Here is a 15,640-nt window from a genome sequence, read left to right on the forward strand (position 1 = left end):
GCCCAAGCTAAATGCAGTGGCACGATCACTGCTCACTGTAGCCTCAAACTCCCAGGCTCAAGCAATCCTCCTGAATAGCTGGAACTATAGGTGCACAACACCATGCCGAGCTAATGTTTCTGTAATTTTTGTAGAGACGGTGGCTCACTATGTTGCCCAGACTGGTCTCAAACTCCTGGGCTCAAGTGATCCTCCTGCTTTGACCTCCCAAAGTGCTGAGATTACAGGCATGAGCCTTTGCATCTAACCTAAACTTTTTTTACTCACAATTTTTAGAAACTTTAATATGCTTAATGTGTAATGGAGCTATTTTATGTCCACATTTTCAAACTTATCTGACCATAAATATACTTTATGAAATGTTTCATTCAAAATAGTTTACGAAAATACTGTTCTGTTAACTAAAAAGAAAAAGAAGAAAAAAACCAATCATATTAGTAGTAGTCTGGGAGAGAAGGAACAAGATATAAAAGAAAGATAAAGGGAACAATAAAGAGAATTAATGATTCTATAACTACAATCTTGGGAGAAAAAAGGTTAGTCTCAATGTATTTGTCCAGCTGAGGCAAAGAAACGAAGACAAACGGGATGGAGAAGTAGAGCTGGAGCAGAGTACTGCTATGTTCTGAGGCAATTTGATGAGTTACCACAGATTGAGAAAAAGATGTTACAGAACCAAGTGTCTTGGAGAAAGGAGGAGGAATATGCATGACAATGTCTCCTGTAAGATTTTGAATTACGTACCTTAAAAAAATTAAGGCTTCCATTATCTAAAGCAGGGGTTCTGCAAACTAGGACCCTTGAGCCAAAGCTGAATCTAGGCCTATTTTTGTATGGCCTGTGAGCTAAGCATGAATTTTATATTTTTAAATTGTTAAAATAGTAATATTTAAAGAATAATATTTAAATATATGTCAAAAAAACATAAAATTCAAATTCCTATGTCCATAAAGTATGATTGGAACACAACTATACTCATTCATTTATATATTGTCTATGGATGCTTTTGTACTGTGTTGGCATACTCGGATAGCTGTGACATAGATCTTATGGTTACCAACTGGGATTTCAAAAAAGTTTTCTAATATCTAATTAAAGTTTAAAGTTACTGTGTTCCTCCAGAGATAAAACTACAACACCAAAAAGAACTAATAAATTATATTGAATACTTCAAAGAACAAATCTAGGAGACTTATTCAGTTTATTTATAAACAATTTTGAGATATCTATTAGATAGACAGATAGCTGTTTTAGAATAAAAGGCAAAACCCTCTTAGGAAACAAATACTAACAGTCTTTACTGAATTGCAAACTAGCAGCTATGGTAAAGAAATATTTTTCTACAGAGATGAATGATAATTTAATTTATATTAACTTACTCATAAATGAGTCAGCTAATAAAAACTACTGAGAAAAAGAGCATAGAGTCATTATGGAAACAAGCACTCTCAGTACTCAACTACAGTTAAAAAGAAAACACTCAATGAGTCAGCAGGAACTAAGCAAAGGCAAAGAGATTTCTTAATACCTTAAAGAAATCCTAATTAATTCATGAGATTGTAATTTTTAATGTCAAGTTAGAAGCTTGACAGACAGCTTCAAACAGACCAAAGTTCAGGACTATTCTAAACATGGGAGCACATCAGGTAAGAAAAAGTAACAGTTTTCCTAAATGTAGAAACAAATAATGAAGTTCAATTAGATTTAAAAGAAATCATACCTGTACTTTAATGAAATAAAGACATTCATTTCCAAGTAAGTATTTATATTTATTTACATTTAAATTATACTATAATGTATTAATTTACATTTAGTTTTAGGTATATGTTTCTGTGTATCACACATATATATGCATATATTTTTGTATATATTAAAAATATACCCGTTAAATTATTCAAAACTTATATAACAATGTCTTCTTTTATATAAAAGGCATAATTGGCTGTGGATGCACACTGCAATTTTTTTCTATAAAATATACCTGAGGAAAAACTATCTATACATATTCATTCCACCAGTGGTGGCAGGTGCCAGAATTGTAACACAATGCCCAAGAAAGAGCAAACAGTATTTACAGGGACAGCTTTGTGTTTCAAAATCTACTAAATAATGCCAACCAGTAGAGACAGATTCAGACTTTTGTTTTACCTTGATTTTTCTTACTGATAGTGACCCACTCCAGAGAAACATAGAAACCACTTCCTTTCATATCCAATTCCTCTTTCTCTATTCGAAGAAGTAGGGTAGCTATAGAATGTTCTTCAGCATTTAGCAGTGAGATACTGTGAATTATAATAAAAGGATCCCCAAGTTCTTCATTAAACATAATCTACAAAACAAAATTACACACACAAAAAAGTGTACATAATTACATGAACACAGATAGCATAGAGGGAATATATAGGATTCTGGTGATTCAACAGTTATTTTGGATACTATTTATTACAAGAAATTTGAAAATAAAAAGGCCTTTACATAAAGACTGCAAGTTTAGATAATGTTCCCTGAGGACAGAACTTTTAAGAAAATATTTATTTGTATAAGAAAAAAACTGATCATTAGTCTTGGCTACCTTGCTTCCTCTCAGTTTCTAGATATTGTATATGAGTGTGCATGTGTGTATGCCTTTTTCCTGTTTTTTGTTTGTTATTTATTCTCTGGAAGTTTACAAAGGCAAGAGTCAAAAACATTGAAGAATAAATCACCAAAACATGTTTTTTCTCAAAAACAAAAGAGCCTATTAGCATTTAAGAATAAGTTAACAAACTCTATTTAAAATAATCCTAAAGTGTTTTTTGAAAAGCAAAAAAGCATCATATAAAAACACACAAAATCTTGTCTAAGCATCATACAGAAACACACAAAATCTTATCAAATTCTTTCTTATACCACAAACACAAGATCTCAACAACTATTACATTTTTAAGACTAAATACAAAATAGAGAAGGTTTTAAGGCTGCTTCCTAAACAAGATTTCCAAATAAGATATGGACAGTTGAGAAAAAGCCTAACTGAAAAAAAGGTAGCTTTAAAAAACAAAAACAAAAAACAAAAAACAAAACCTGTACCTGGTATCCCCACATATCTACTTCTACTTGAAAACCTTACAAAGAAAAATGTGCTTTAATGTCATCAAGTTCCCTATGTATTTGAACATCTGCCAAAATCATTCAAGTAATGGGCCTTCAGAATCCATTCTTAAGATTTCCATAAACAGAAAAAACAAAAGCTTAAAAAAAATCCTTAAATATTCAAAACAGAGATGACAGATGAAGGCAGGTTTTTATTGGTTGATTGGGTTTTGCTTTTGTTTGAGGAATAGGGGAAACAAAACGGAAGAACAGAAAATGACAAGTTTTGGCAGGAACAAGTAGCTAGTTTATTGTTTCTTTTTTTCTTTCTAGTATGAGTGAAAGGAACTGTAATGAAACCAGAAGAGTAGATGGCGTACTTTTAAAAATTGTTAGGCTGAAGTTTCTAGTTTTCTGAACAAGCCCAGCATCTAAACTGTGATACCGTTGATACATGGCACTTCCATGGTATTAGAGGCAACACATTTGGAAAGCAAGCTGTCTCCTTTAATTTCTCTTTTTAAACTTCAGTAATCACCACCACCACCCTTGGCCCCCTTACCCCCCACCATGCTCCGTAATCACTTCTACTTTTAGCTTCTCTGTTATATTAATTACCCTAAAGTCCTAAAACCCTCCTGAATTGTTTCTTAAAGTGACCAATATTCCACAGTATCCCTCCCACCTCAATTAATCCCCAAGTCTCCTCCCTCTCCCACCAGTATCTAGTCAAAACTATTATTAGCTGAAAACATCTCTGAAGGGAGCTTATTTCATTAGGGCAGTATATGCTAAAGAAGGCACAAGGTAGAATTAAGTTTTTAAATTTATTTAAAAGATACTATTGAAGTCTTAATACACGCCAAGGGGATACACAAAACAAAACCAAAAGAAGTATAAGCCCATATGAAATAATGTGTGGTATTATTTTTAAGATGAAAGTGAGCCAAGTAGGTTTGTCCTGTTCAAAATCTACAGAATCCATACAGCTCAATACCAGATAAATTCCCACTCATATCTCTCCTGCGCATTATTCTCAAAATACCTTCCAACTGTTTCAGGTAGCTGTGCTACATACCACATTACTTCTGTTTTTCAGAAAAATGAAAGTTGTTACTAAAGGCCAAAACAGAAATTGCCACAGTATCCAATGAATATCTGAAACTGTGAATGCAACAGGCTCTTGTAAATAGGCTACTGCTGTTCTGGTTATTTACTGTGTATTTTGAACATACTATAATTTGGTAGTATAACATTTAGTATAACTTAGTAAGGTAGGTAAACCATTTGGTTCTAAGACCTAACTGGTTTTTCTCAAGTAATTAAAGCCTGGTCTCTGTAGGCATCTGTTGGTCAGATGAAATTATTTTATAAGACATAAATATATTAAGCTCGCATCTCTTTATTTACCCAGAACTAAAGGCTACCTACAGAGATTCAGACAGTAGCAATATTACAATACACTTATTAGCATAACTCAAAGGAGCTGAAGCAGTAAACTAAATCTTTTGATTATCTACTTGGCATCATTTTCTTCTGTTTTCAAAAACTGTAGTTCTAGAGAAATTAATTCCTTATTTATTACTATTAAAACCCTAAACTACCCTTTAGATTTATATCTAATTTTTAAAATTAAAGTAAAAATGTTGTCTTGGAAATTGGCATATAACTATATATTTATATCATGTATTTTTCTAAGTAGAGAATATTCTGGTAATCTGACTACTATTTGACCAATGTAAACATCCCAGCAAATCTAACATAATGGCAGAGGAGAAAATCATCCTAACATAAGCTTTTGGTCAACTCTTCTTCAAGAAGGAGGAGGCAACGCCAATGCTTAATGAAGTACTCTACGCATATAAGATGTCTGCTGAAAAATGAATGCAATTCTTGACAACTGCACTGACTCCAGATCAAAACAGGAGTGGTTAATGTAACAGTTTGTGAAAAATATATATGTTATAATTTAGTTAAAAAGAGATCCAAAACATTATATATCAAACAAACAACAGATCACATGTAAACCATCCTTGAAAAGTGTCATTTTAAAATAAGTAGGGTGTAATTTACATATACTTTCTGGACTTCGCATAAGTCTTAAACAAACCCTCACCTCCCATTTTTCAGAAGCGCTATTTCCACGTTCACCTGTTCCAATGACATACAATCTTCCAGTTCCATCTGACAAGGTAACCCAGGTAGAAGATGAGAAATGGATAGATGCACAAAGACGGTTGTCACATGCTGTCAAATCTGTAGGAAGTCGAAACACCTCTCGTGGTTTTCCTAAGGCAGTGTCCTAAAAAGACCAAACATTATACATTAATCTCTTCCTCTTCACTGATCCACACACACAAAATAAATATCTGCGGTGTGGTGGTTTCTCTCCTTTTTAAGAGTTGGAGTCTAATTCCTCTTCCTTTGATGTGAGCTGTCCTACTGATTCAGTTTTAACAAAAATATACAGTAGATGTGACAGATGGCATATGACTTCTAGAACTAGGTCATAAAAGACTTTACATCTTCTACTTCACTCTCTCTCTTGGATCACACATTCTGAGGGTGGCTAGCTACCATGCTATGAATATGCTTAAGGTAGCCCCATGGACAGACCCACATGGGGAGGAAATGATGGCTCTTGCCAACAATCAGCATTCCATGAGTTAATCATTTCGAAAATGTATCCTTTAGTCCTAGTCAAGGCTTCAGATGACTGCAGCCCTGGCTATCGTTTTGGCTATAAACTCATGAAAAAATCATGAGCCAGACCACCCACCTGAACTACTCCCTGATTTCTGACCACAGAAACTGTGTGATATGGTAAGTGGTTATTGTTTCAAGTCACTAAGTTTTGAAGTTGTCGTATGACAGAAAACTAATACAATGCAGTAATCTAGTTTTCATTCTCTTAATTTTAGAGTTAAAGATCAGTATTTTTAACTCACTAGTTAGAAATACCACATCATGTTCAAAATGCCTACAGAGACACCAGTCTGCGGTATGAAAACACTACATTTAGCCTACTATGAATCTAGGTTTTTGTTAACAAATTTTAATTGGTCTATGTACTTATAATGTAAAGTTATGAGTTGCTGCTAGGGTTTGAATGTGGTATCCTCCCCAAAAGCTGAGTTAAAACCTAATCACCAAAGTGATGTTACTAGAAGTTAGGGCTTCTGATCATTAGGGCTCCACACTGGTGATTGGGATTAAGTAACCTTGGAGAAGGGACTGAAAGAGGGAGTTTGTCTCTTTTTCCCCCTCCGCCTTCTGTCATGTGAGGACGTATTATGCCTCCTTTCTGGAGGATGCAATGTTCAAGGCATCATCTTAGAAGCAGAGACTGAACCCTTACCAGACACCAAACCTGCCAGTACCTGGATCTTGGAATTCTCAGCTCCAGAACTCAGAGAAATAAATTTCTGTTCTTTATAAATTACCAATTCTCAGGTATTTTGTTACAGCAGCACAAATGGACTACAACAGTTACATCATTAAAATGTTTTACAAGAGAATATATTTTTAAAGGTCTATAATTTAGAAGATAAACTTCCTCTCATATACCAAACTGCATTCAAATTCAACCATTTGTTTTTCTTGCTAAACTTTACAAGTTTTTCTATAGGAGAAAAGTAATCCTTTATATCCATATTTCATTACTTTCTCCTAGAACTTAGATCTATATATGCTATAATATTTAAGTAAACTGTATACAATGTCCTTACTGGCCACAAAATTTTTGGTGACCCATTTTTTCTTTCTAAAGCACCTAATTTAGCTTTCTCCGAAACAGCACCTTTCCTTCCTTTCATATTTTACTGCTTTATATAATATTAAATTAAATAATAAATACTCAATGGCAAGCAGAGCTCACATTAAGTTTGTAGAATGATCAAATCTGAGTATCAGTGATCTAAAACCACAAGCAAGAAACAGAATCATACCAGCATAGTATTAAGTAGCCTATTAGTAGTAAACATCAAGCTTACTGTGGTCTTCCATCAGTATGTTTTACAGAGAGAACAGAGACTATCAATTAACCCATTTGGTCTGTTAAGTGGAGGTCAATTAAGATAAATTTTACTGTAGGTCACATCATTTAGAGCATGATGTGGTATTTCCAGTTAGTGAAATAAAAAGAAAACAGACTAGTCCACAAATGCTACTGGGACACCAGAGAACTTCTGGGAAAAAATTAAACTTATTCTCTCCCTCATATCGTAAACAAAAATATTCCATATTCCAGTAGATCAAGTGTCTAAGTGTGTTAAAGGAAAAGGAAAATAATACTGTTCTTATAATCTCAGGATAGAAAAAGTCTTTCTACATGTAAATAAAAGGCATGTAAGAGAAAGGGAGACAAGTATTTGTCATAAATATAACCCAGGGCTAATATGTATAACATAAAAAAAGCCCTTAAAACTTAACAAGAAACATGATTATTTAAAATGTTTAGGGGGATGGGCAGATCATGACAGACGGGAGGCAGGACTAAATTGCAGCTCCAACTCTGATGGACAGAGCAGCCTGTGGAGCCTCGCATCATGATTTTTTGCTCCAGAATGACTGCAGGAATAAATCAGGAAAGCCGAGAGAACCCGCAGACCCTCTGAAGGAAGTGGATTGCTCCTACAGGACCCGGGAGACACCCCAAATACTGTGAGTACCCAAACTGTGGAAGTAGGAAAGAGAGACCCCTCAAACACACACCCCCACTTGGAACCTGAAGGTCTAGGTTATGGGAGAAGATTCTGACCTTACCTGGAACTGAGTCACTTGAGAGAGCTGAGCAAAACACAGGGGTAGAGGAAGCAGCAGGGAAAGCCCTGTCAGCTCGCTGGGTTCCCTAACAAACCATTTCTGCCTGTCCTCACAGGGGTCCTTCGGGAGGGCAGCCAGAGGCACCGGGCAAAGGCCACAGGGAAAAGGAAATCGCCAGCTGAACTTTGTAACACTTTGAACTGATGGAGAAGTCTCCTTCCCAGAACTCAGGGAAGGGTGTGAATCTGGTGGGCAGACTCCACAGGCAGGCAAAGAAGGAAAGCCATATTTGCTTTTGCAGCTGGGAGACAGGTAGCCTGGGGCAAGTTCTCAGCCCTGCTTGCCCACTACCTGGAAACAGACTTGGTGCTGTTGGCAAAGGCATGTTGGGAGTGAGACAGGCCCCTCGGATTGCATGGGAATTGGGTGAGGCCTGTAACTGCTGGTTCTCCCCCACTTCCCTGAACAATCTGCAAGACTCAGCAGAGGCAGCCATAATCCTCCTAGGAACATAACTCCATTGACCTGGAAACCTCACCCCCATCCCCCACAGCAGCTGTGGCAAGAAATGCCCAAGGAGAGCCTGAGCTCAGACACGCCTAGCCCTGCCCCCACCCAATGGTCCTTCCCTACCCACCTTGGGAACTCTAGACAAAAGGCATATACTCTTGGGAGTTCTACAGCCCCATCCACTGTGTGTTCCTCCCCATACTACCACAGCTGATGCTCTCTGGAAAGCACCACCTCCTAATAGAGAGCAAACCAGCACAAAAATAGCGCATTAAATCACCAAAGCTAAGAATCCTCACAGAGTCCATTTCACCCCGCTGACACCTCCACAAGGACAGGTGCTGGTATCCATGGCTGAGAGACCCACAAATGGTACACAACACAGGACTCTGTGCAGACAACCCCAGTACCAGCCTGGAGCCTGGTAGACTTGCTGGGTGGCTAGATCCAAAACAGAGATAACAATCACTACAGCTCGGCTCTCAGGAGGACACATCCATAGGAAAAGGGGGAGACTACTACGTCAAGGGAACACCATGGGACAAAAGAATCTGAACAACAGCCTTGAGCCCTAGACTTTCCCTCTGATAGAGCCTACCCAAATAAGAAGGAATCAGAAAATCAAGTCTGGTAATATGACAAAACAAGGTTCTTTAACACCCTCCGAAAATCACAATAGTTCACCAGCATTGAATCCAAACCCAGAAGAAATTCCTGATTTACCTGAAAAAGAATTCAGGAGGTCAGTTATTAAGCTAATCAGGGAGGCATCAGAGAAAGGCAAAGCCCAACGTAAGGAAACAAAAAAAAATGATACAAGAAGTGAAAGGGGAAATATTCAATGAAATAGCATAAATAAAAAACAATCAAAACTTTAGGAAACAATGGACACACTTACAGAAATCCAAAATGCTCTGGAAAGTCTCAGCAATAGAATCAAACAAGTAGAAGAAAGAAATTCAGAGCTCGAAGACAAGGTCTTTGAATTAACCCCATCCAACAAAGACAATGGAAAAATAATAAGAAAATATGAACACTCCTCCAAGAAGTCTGGGATTATGTTAAATGACCAAACCTAAGAACAATCGGCATTCCTGTGGAAGAAGAGAAATCTGAAAGTTTGGAAAACATATTTGGGGGAATAATCGAGGTAAACTTCCCCAGCCTTGCTAGATACCTAGACATCCAAATACAAGAAGCACAAAGAACATCTGGGAAATTCACTGCAAAAAAATCATCGCCTAGGCACATTGTCATCAAGCTATCTAAAGTTAAGGTGAAGGAAAGAATCTTAAGAGCTGTGAGACAAAAGAACCAAGTAACCTATAAAGAAAAACCTGTCAGATTAACAGCAGATTTGTCAGCTGAAGCCCTACAAGCTAGAAGGGATTGGGGCCCTATCTTCAGTCTTCTCAAACAAAACAATTATCAAGCAAGAATTTTGTATCCAGTGAAACAAAGCTTCATATATGAAGGAAAGACACAGTCTTCTTCAGACAAACAAATGCCAAGAGAATTCACCACTACCAAGCCACTGTCAGGTCTCTGAGCCCAAGCTAAGCCATCATATCCCCTGTGACCTGCACGTATGCATCCAGATGGCCTGAAACAACTGAAGATCCACAAAAGAAGTGAGAATAGTCTTAACTGATGACATTCCACCACTGTGATTTGTTCCTGCCCCACCCTAACTGATAGGATATATTCTCCCCGATCCTTAAGAAGGTACTTTGTAATATTCTCCCCCCGCCCTTAAGAAGGTACTTTGTAATATTCTCTCCGCCCTTAAGAATGTACTTTGTACACCTATCCCAAACCTTAAGAACTAATGATAATCCCACCACCCCTTGCTGACTCCTTTTTCGGACTCAGCTCGCCTGCACCCAGGTGAAATAAACAGCCTTGTTGTTCACACAAAGCCTGTTTGGTGGTCTCTTTACACAGATGCGCCAGACATTTGGTGCCGAAGACCCGGGACAGGAGGACTCCTTTGGGAGACCAGTCCTCTGTCCTCTCCCTCACTCCGTGAGGAGATCCACCTACGACCTCGGGTCCTCAGACCAACCAGCCCAAGGAACATCTCACCAATTTCAAATGGGGTAAGCGGCCTTTCTACTCTCTTCTCCAGCCTCTCTTGCTACCCTTCAATCTCCCTCTCTTACTACCCTTCAATCTCCCTGTCCTTCCAATTCCAGCTCTTTGTCCTCTCTAATAGAGACAAAAGAGACACATTTTATCCATGGACCCAAAACTCCAGCACCAGTCATGGACTCGGGAAGACAGTCTTCCCTTGGTGTTTAATCACTGCAGGGACACCTGCCTGATTATTCACCCACACTCCATTGGTGTCTGATCACTGCGGGGATGCCTGCCTTGGTCATTCACCAACATTCCTTTGGTGGCAAGTCAAGTGCGGGGATGCCTGCTTTGGCTGCTTGCCCACATTGCAGCCCAGGGCTGCTCACTACCTCCCTTCTCCCTGTCTCTACCCTCTCTTTTCTCTGGGCTTGCCTCCTTCACTATGGGCAACCTTCCACCCTCCATTCCTCCTTTTTCTCCCTTAGCCTGTGTTCTTAAAAACTTAAAATCTCTTCAACTCACACCTGACCTGAAACCTAAGCATCTTATTTTCTTCTGCAACATCGCCTGGCCCCAATACAAACTAAACAATGATTCTAAATAGCCAGAAAACAGCACTTTTGATTCCTCCATCATACAAGATCTAGATAATTCTTCTCATAAAATGGGCAAATGGTCTGTGGTGCCTGATGTCCAGGCATTCTTTTACACATCGGTCCCTTCCTAATCTCTGCTCCCAATGAGACTCATCCCAAATCTTTCTTCTTTCTCTGCTGTCTGTTCCTTCAGTCTCCACCCCAAGCTCTGAGTCCTGGGAATCCTCCTTTTCTACAGACCCATCTGACCTCTCCCCTCCTCCCCAGGCTGTGCCTCGCCAGGCCAAGCCAGGTCCCAACTCTTCTTCAGCCTCCACTCCCCCACCCTATAACCCTCCTATTACCTCCCCTCCTTACACCAGGTCTGGCTTAGTTTCGTTCTGTGACTAGCCCTCCCCCACCTGCCCAACGATTTCCTCTTAGAGGTGGCTGGAGATGAAGGCATAGCCAAGGTTAATGCTCCTCTTTCTTTATAAGACATCTCCCAAATCAGTTAGCATTTAGGCTCTTTTTCATCAAATATGAAACCCAGCCCAGTCCATGGCCCGTTTGGCAACAACCCTCAGACGCTTTACCGCCCTAGACCCAGAGGGGCCAGAAGGCTGTCTTATTCTCAATATGCATTTTATTACCCAACCCACTCCCTACATTAAAAAGTTCCAAAAATTAGATTCTGGCCCTCAACCCCACAACAGGACTTAAATGACCTCGCTTTCAAGATGTACAATAATAAAGAAGAGTTGCAATTACTCGCCTCCACTGTGAGAGAAACCCCAGCCACATTTCCAGCACACCAAAACTTCAAAAAGCCTAAACTGCAGGGGCCAGGTGTTCCTCCAGGACCGCCTCCCCAAGGATCTTGCTTCAAGTGCTGGAAATCTAGCCACTGGGCCAAGGAAAGCCCGCAGCCTGGGATTCCTCCTAAGCTGTCTCCCATCTGTGTGGGACCCCACTGGAAATCGGACTGTCCTACTCGCCCAGCAGCCACTCCCAGAGCCCCTGGAACTCTGGCCCAAGGCTCTCTGACTGACTCCTTCCCAGATCTTCTCAGCTTAGTGGCTGAAGACTAACACTGCCCGATCGCCTTGGAAGCCTACAGGACCATCACAGACACTTTGGGTAACTCTTACACTGGAGGGTAAGTCTGTCCCCTTCTTCATCAATATGGAGGCCACCCACTCCACATTACCTTCTTTTCAAGGTCCTGTTTCCCTTGCCTCCATAACTGTTGTGAGTATTGACGGCCAGGCTTCTAAACCTCTTAAAACTCCCCAACTCTCATGCCAATTTGGACAACATTATTTTATGCACTCCTTGTTAGTTATCCTCACCTGCCCCGCTCCCTTATTAGGTTGAGACATTTTAACTAAATTATCTGCTTCCCTGACTATTCCTAGGCTACAGCCACCCCTCATTGCCACCTTTTTCCCCAGTTAAAAGCCTCCTTCACATCCTCCCCTTGTATCTCCCCACCTTAATCCACAAGTATAGGACACCTCTACTCCCTCCTTGGCAACCGATCACGCAACCCTTACCATCCCATTAAAACCTAATCACCCTTACCTCGCTCAATGCCAATATCCCATCCTACAGCACACTTTAAAATGATTAAAGCCTGTTATCACTCGCCTGCTACAGCATGGCCTTTTAAAGTCTATAAACTCTCCTTACGATTCCCCCATTTCACCTGTCCAAAAACTGGACAAGTCTTACAGGTTAGTTCAGGATCTGCGCCTTATCAACCACCCCATGGTGCCAAAACCATATACTCTCCTATCCTCAATACCTCCCCTCCACAACCCATTATTCTGTTCTAGATAAACCTAGCTGACCCCATAAATCCTAAATCCTTTCCCCACTCCCCTTTCCAATCCTTAAAAAACAGCCCTAAAAGCTGCTCCCACACTAGCTCTCCCTAACTCATCCCAACCTTTTTCATTACACACAGCTGAAGTGCAGGGGTGTGTGACTGGAACTCTTACACAAGAGCCGGGACCGTGCTGTGTAGCCTTTCTGTCCAAACAACTTGACCTTACTGTTTTAGGCTAGCCCCCACATTATTCCTGATACCACACCTGACCTCCATGACTGTATCTCTCTGATCCACCTGGCATTCACTCTATTTCCCCATATTTCCTTCTTTCCTGTCCCTCACTCTGATCACACTTGGTTTATTGATGGCAGTTCCACTAGGCCTAATCACCACTTACCAGCAAAAGCAGGCTATGCTATAGTATCTTCCACGTCTATCCTTGAGGCTACTGCTCTGCCACCCTCCACTACCTCTCAGCAAGCTGAACTCATTGCCTTAACTCGGGCCCTCACTCTTGCAAAGGCACTACGCGTCAATATTTAAAGACTCGAAATATGCCTTCCATATCCTGCACCACCATGCTGTTATATGGGCTGAAAGAGGGTTCCTCTCTACGTAAGGGTCCTCCATCATTAATTCCTCTTTAATAAAAACTCTTCTCAAGGCCGCTTTACTTCCAAAGGAAGCTGGAGTCATTCACTGCAAGGGCCATCAAAAGGCATCAGATCCCATCGCTCAGGGTAACGCTTATGCTGATAATGTAGCTAAAGAAGCAGCCAGCTTCCAACTTCTGTCCCTCAGGGCCAGTTTTTCTCCTCCTCGTTGGTCACTCCCACCAACTCCCCCACTGAAACTTCCACCTATCAATCCCTTCCCACACAAGACAAATGGTTCTTGGACCAAGGAAAATATCTCCTTCCAGCCTCACAGGCCCATTCTATTCTGTCGTCATTTCATAACCTCTTCCATGTAGGTTACAAGCCACTAGCCCATCTCTTAGAATCTCTCATTTCCTTTCCATCGTGGAAATCTATCCTCAAGGAAATCCCTTCTCAGTGTTCCATCTGCTATTCTAGTACTCCTCAGGGATTGTTCAGGCCCCCTCCCTTCCCTACACATCAAGCTTGGGAATTTGTCTCTGCCCCGGACTGGCAAATTGACTTTACCCACATGCCCCGAGTCAGGAAACTAAAATACCTCTTGGTCTGGGTAGACACTTTCACTGGATGGGTAGAAGCCTTTCCCACAGGGTCTGAGAAGGCCACTGTGGTCATTTCTTCCCTTCTGTAAGACATAATTCCTCAGTTTGGCCTTCCCACCTCTATACTAGCCTTTATTATTCAAACCACCCAAGCAGTTTCTCAGTCTCTTGGTATTCAGTGGAAACTTCATACCCCTTACTGTCCTCAATCTTCAGGAAAAGTAGAACGGACTAATGGTCTTTTAAAGACACACCTCACCAAGCTCAGCCTCCAAGTTAAAAAGGACTGGACAGTACTTTTACCTCTTGCCCTTCTCAAAATTAGAGCCTGTCCTCGAGATACTACAGGGTACAATCCATTTGAACTTTTATATGGATGCAGTTTCTTGCTCGGCCCCAACCTCATCCCAAGCACTAGCCCTCTAAGCAACTATCTTCCTGTCCTCCAGCAGGACAGACAGGAAATTCACCAGGCTGCTAATCTTATTAAGAATCTGACCCCTCAAATTCTACAACCTTGGTGGACTGGACCCCACTTAGTCATCTATAGTACCCCAACGGCTGTTCGTCTGCAGGACCCCCGCATTAGGTTCATAGATCCAGAGTAAAGCTGTGCCCGTCAGCCAGCCAGCCTGATTTCTCCTCTTCCTCCTGGAAGTCGCAAGTACTCCCCCCTACTTCCCTTAAACTCACTCGCATTTCTGAAGAACAGTAATAACCCTTATAAGCCCAATACATCCCTTCATTCTATTAGGTCTATTTGTCCTTACCCTGCTTTTTGCAACAGGGCTTTATGCAGTCACTCTCACTACTTGGACTGCACCCCGAAAACTTGTCATCCCTACTATTTCCTGTCTAGTCTTACTCCTACTCACCACTCTCAACTACTCATAAATGCCCTGCCCTTGTTTACATTGCCAGTTTACACTTTTCTTCCAAACTATCGTAGTGGATATCCTCTGGTACTAGCCCCAATCCACCACTCTTGACTCCCTCTTGGAGTGGATAGATGCTCTTTGCTGACAGGTTACACTCCAATACTTTCACCCTGATGAAGTCCTATTCTTTACTTTTATACTCACTCTTATTCTTGTTCCTGTTCTTATGCCACCCTCTACCTCTCCCCAGCTATCTCTGCCACACTATCAATCTCACTCACTCTCTCCTAGCCGTTTCTAATCCTTCTTTAAGAAACAATTGTTCACTTTGCATTTCTCTTTCCTCCAAAATCGCCAAGGCCTCTATTTACTCACTGCTAAAAAAAAAGTGGGAATCTGTATATTTTTAAAAGAAGAGTGTTGTTTTTACCTAAATCAATCTTGCGTGGTATATGACAACATAAAAAAAAAACTCAAGGATAGAGTCCAAAAACTCGCCAACCAAGCAAATAATTATGTTGAACCCCCCCCACCCCCGGACCCCACTGGACACTCTAATTGGATGTCCTGGGTCCTCCCAATTCTTAGTCCTTTAATACGTGTTTTCCTCTTTCTTTTATTCAGAGCTTGTGTCTTTCATTTAGTTTCTCAATTCCTACAAAACCACATTCAGGCCATCACCAATCATTCTATACGACAAATGCTCCTTCTAACAACCCCACAATAT

The 15,640-nt window shown here is 40.5% G+C and overlaps 1 protein-coding gene across 3 annotated transcripts in view; it reads right to left on the bottom strand.

The window, feature by feature from the left end:
- Positions 1 to 15,640, bottom strand: part of NUDCD1 (NudC domain containing 1) — a 93,169-nt gene that overhangs the window by 50,277 nt on the left and 27,252 nt on the right. For all 3 annotated transcript variants that reach the window (NM_032869.4, NM_001128211.2, XM_047422330.1), the window contains exons 3-4: positions 5,189 to 5,374; positions 2,149 to 2,329 (exon numbers count right to left, since the gene is read on the bottom strand). In NM_032869.4, the coding sequence (NP_116258.2) occupies positions 2,149 to 2,329; positions 5,189 to 5,374 (367 nt within the window). The remainder of the gene's footprint in view (positions 1 to 2,148; positions 2,330 to 5,188; positions 5,375 to 15,640) is intronic.

Source organism: Homo sapiens, chromosome 8, assembly GCF_000001405.40.
Source record: "Homo sapiens chromosome 8, GRCh38.p14 Primary Assembly".
NCBI lineage: Eukaryota > Metazoa > Chordata > Mammalia > Primates > Hominidae > Homo > Homo sapiens.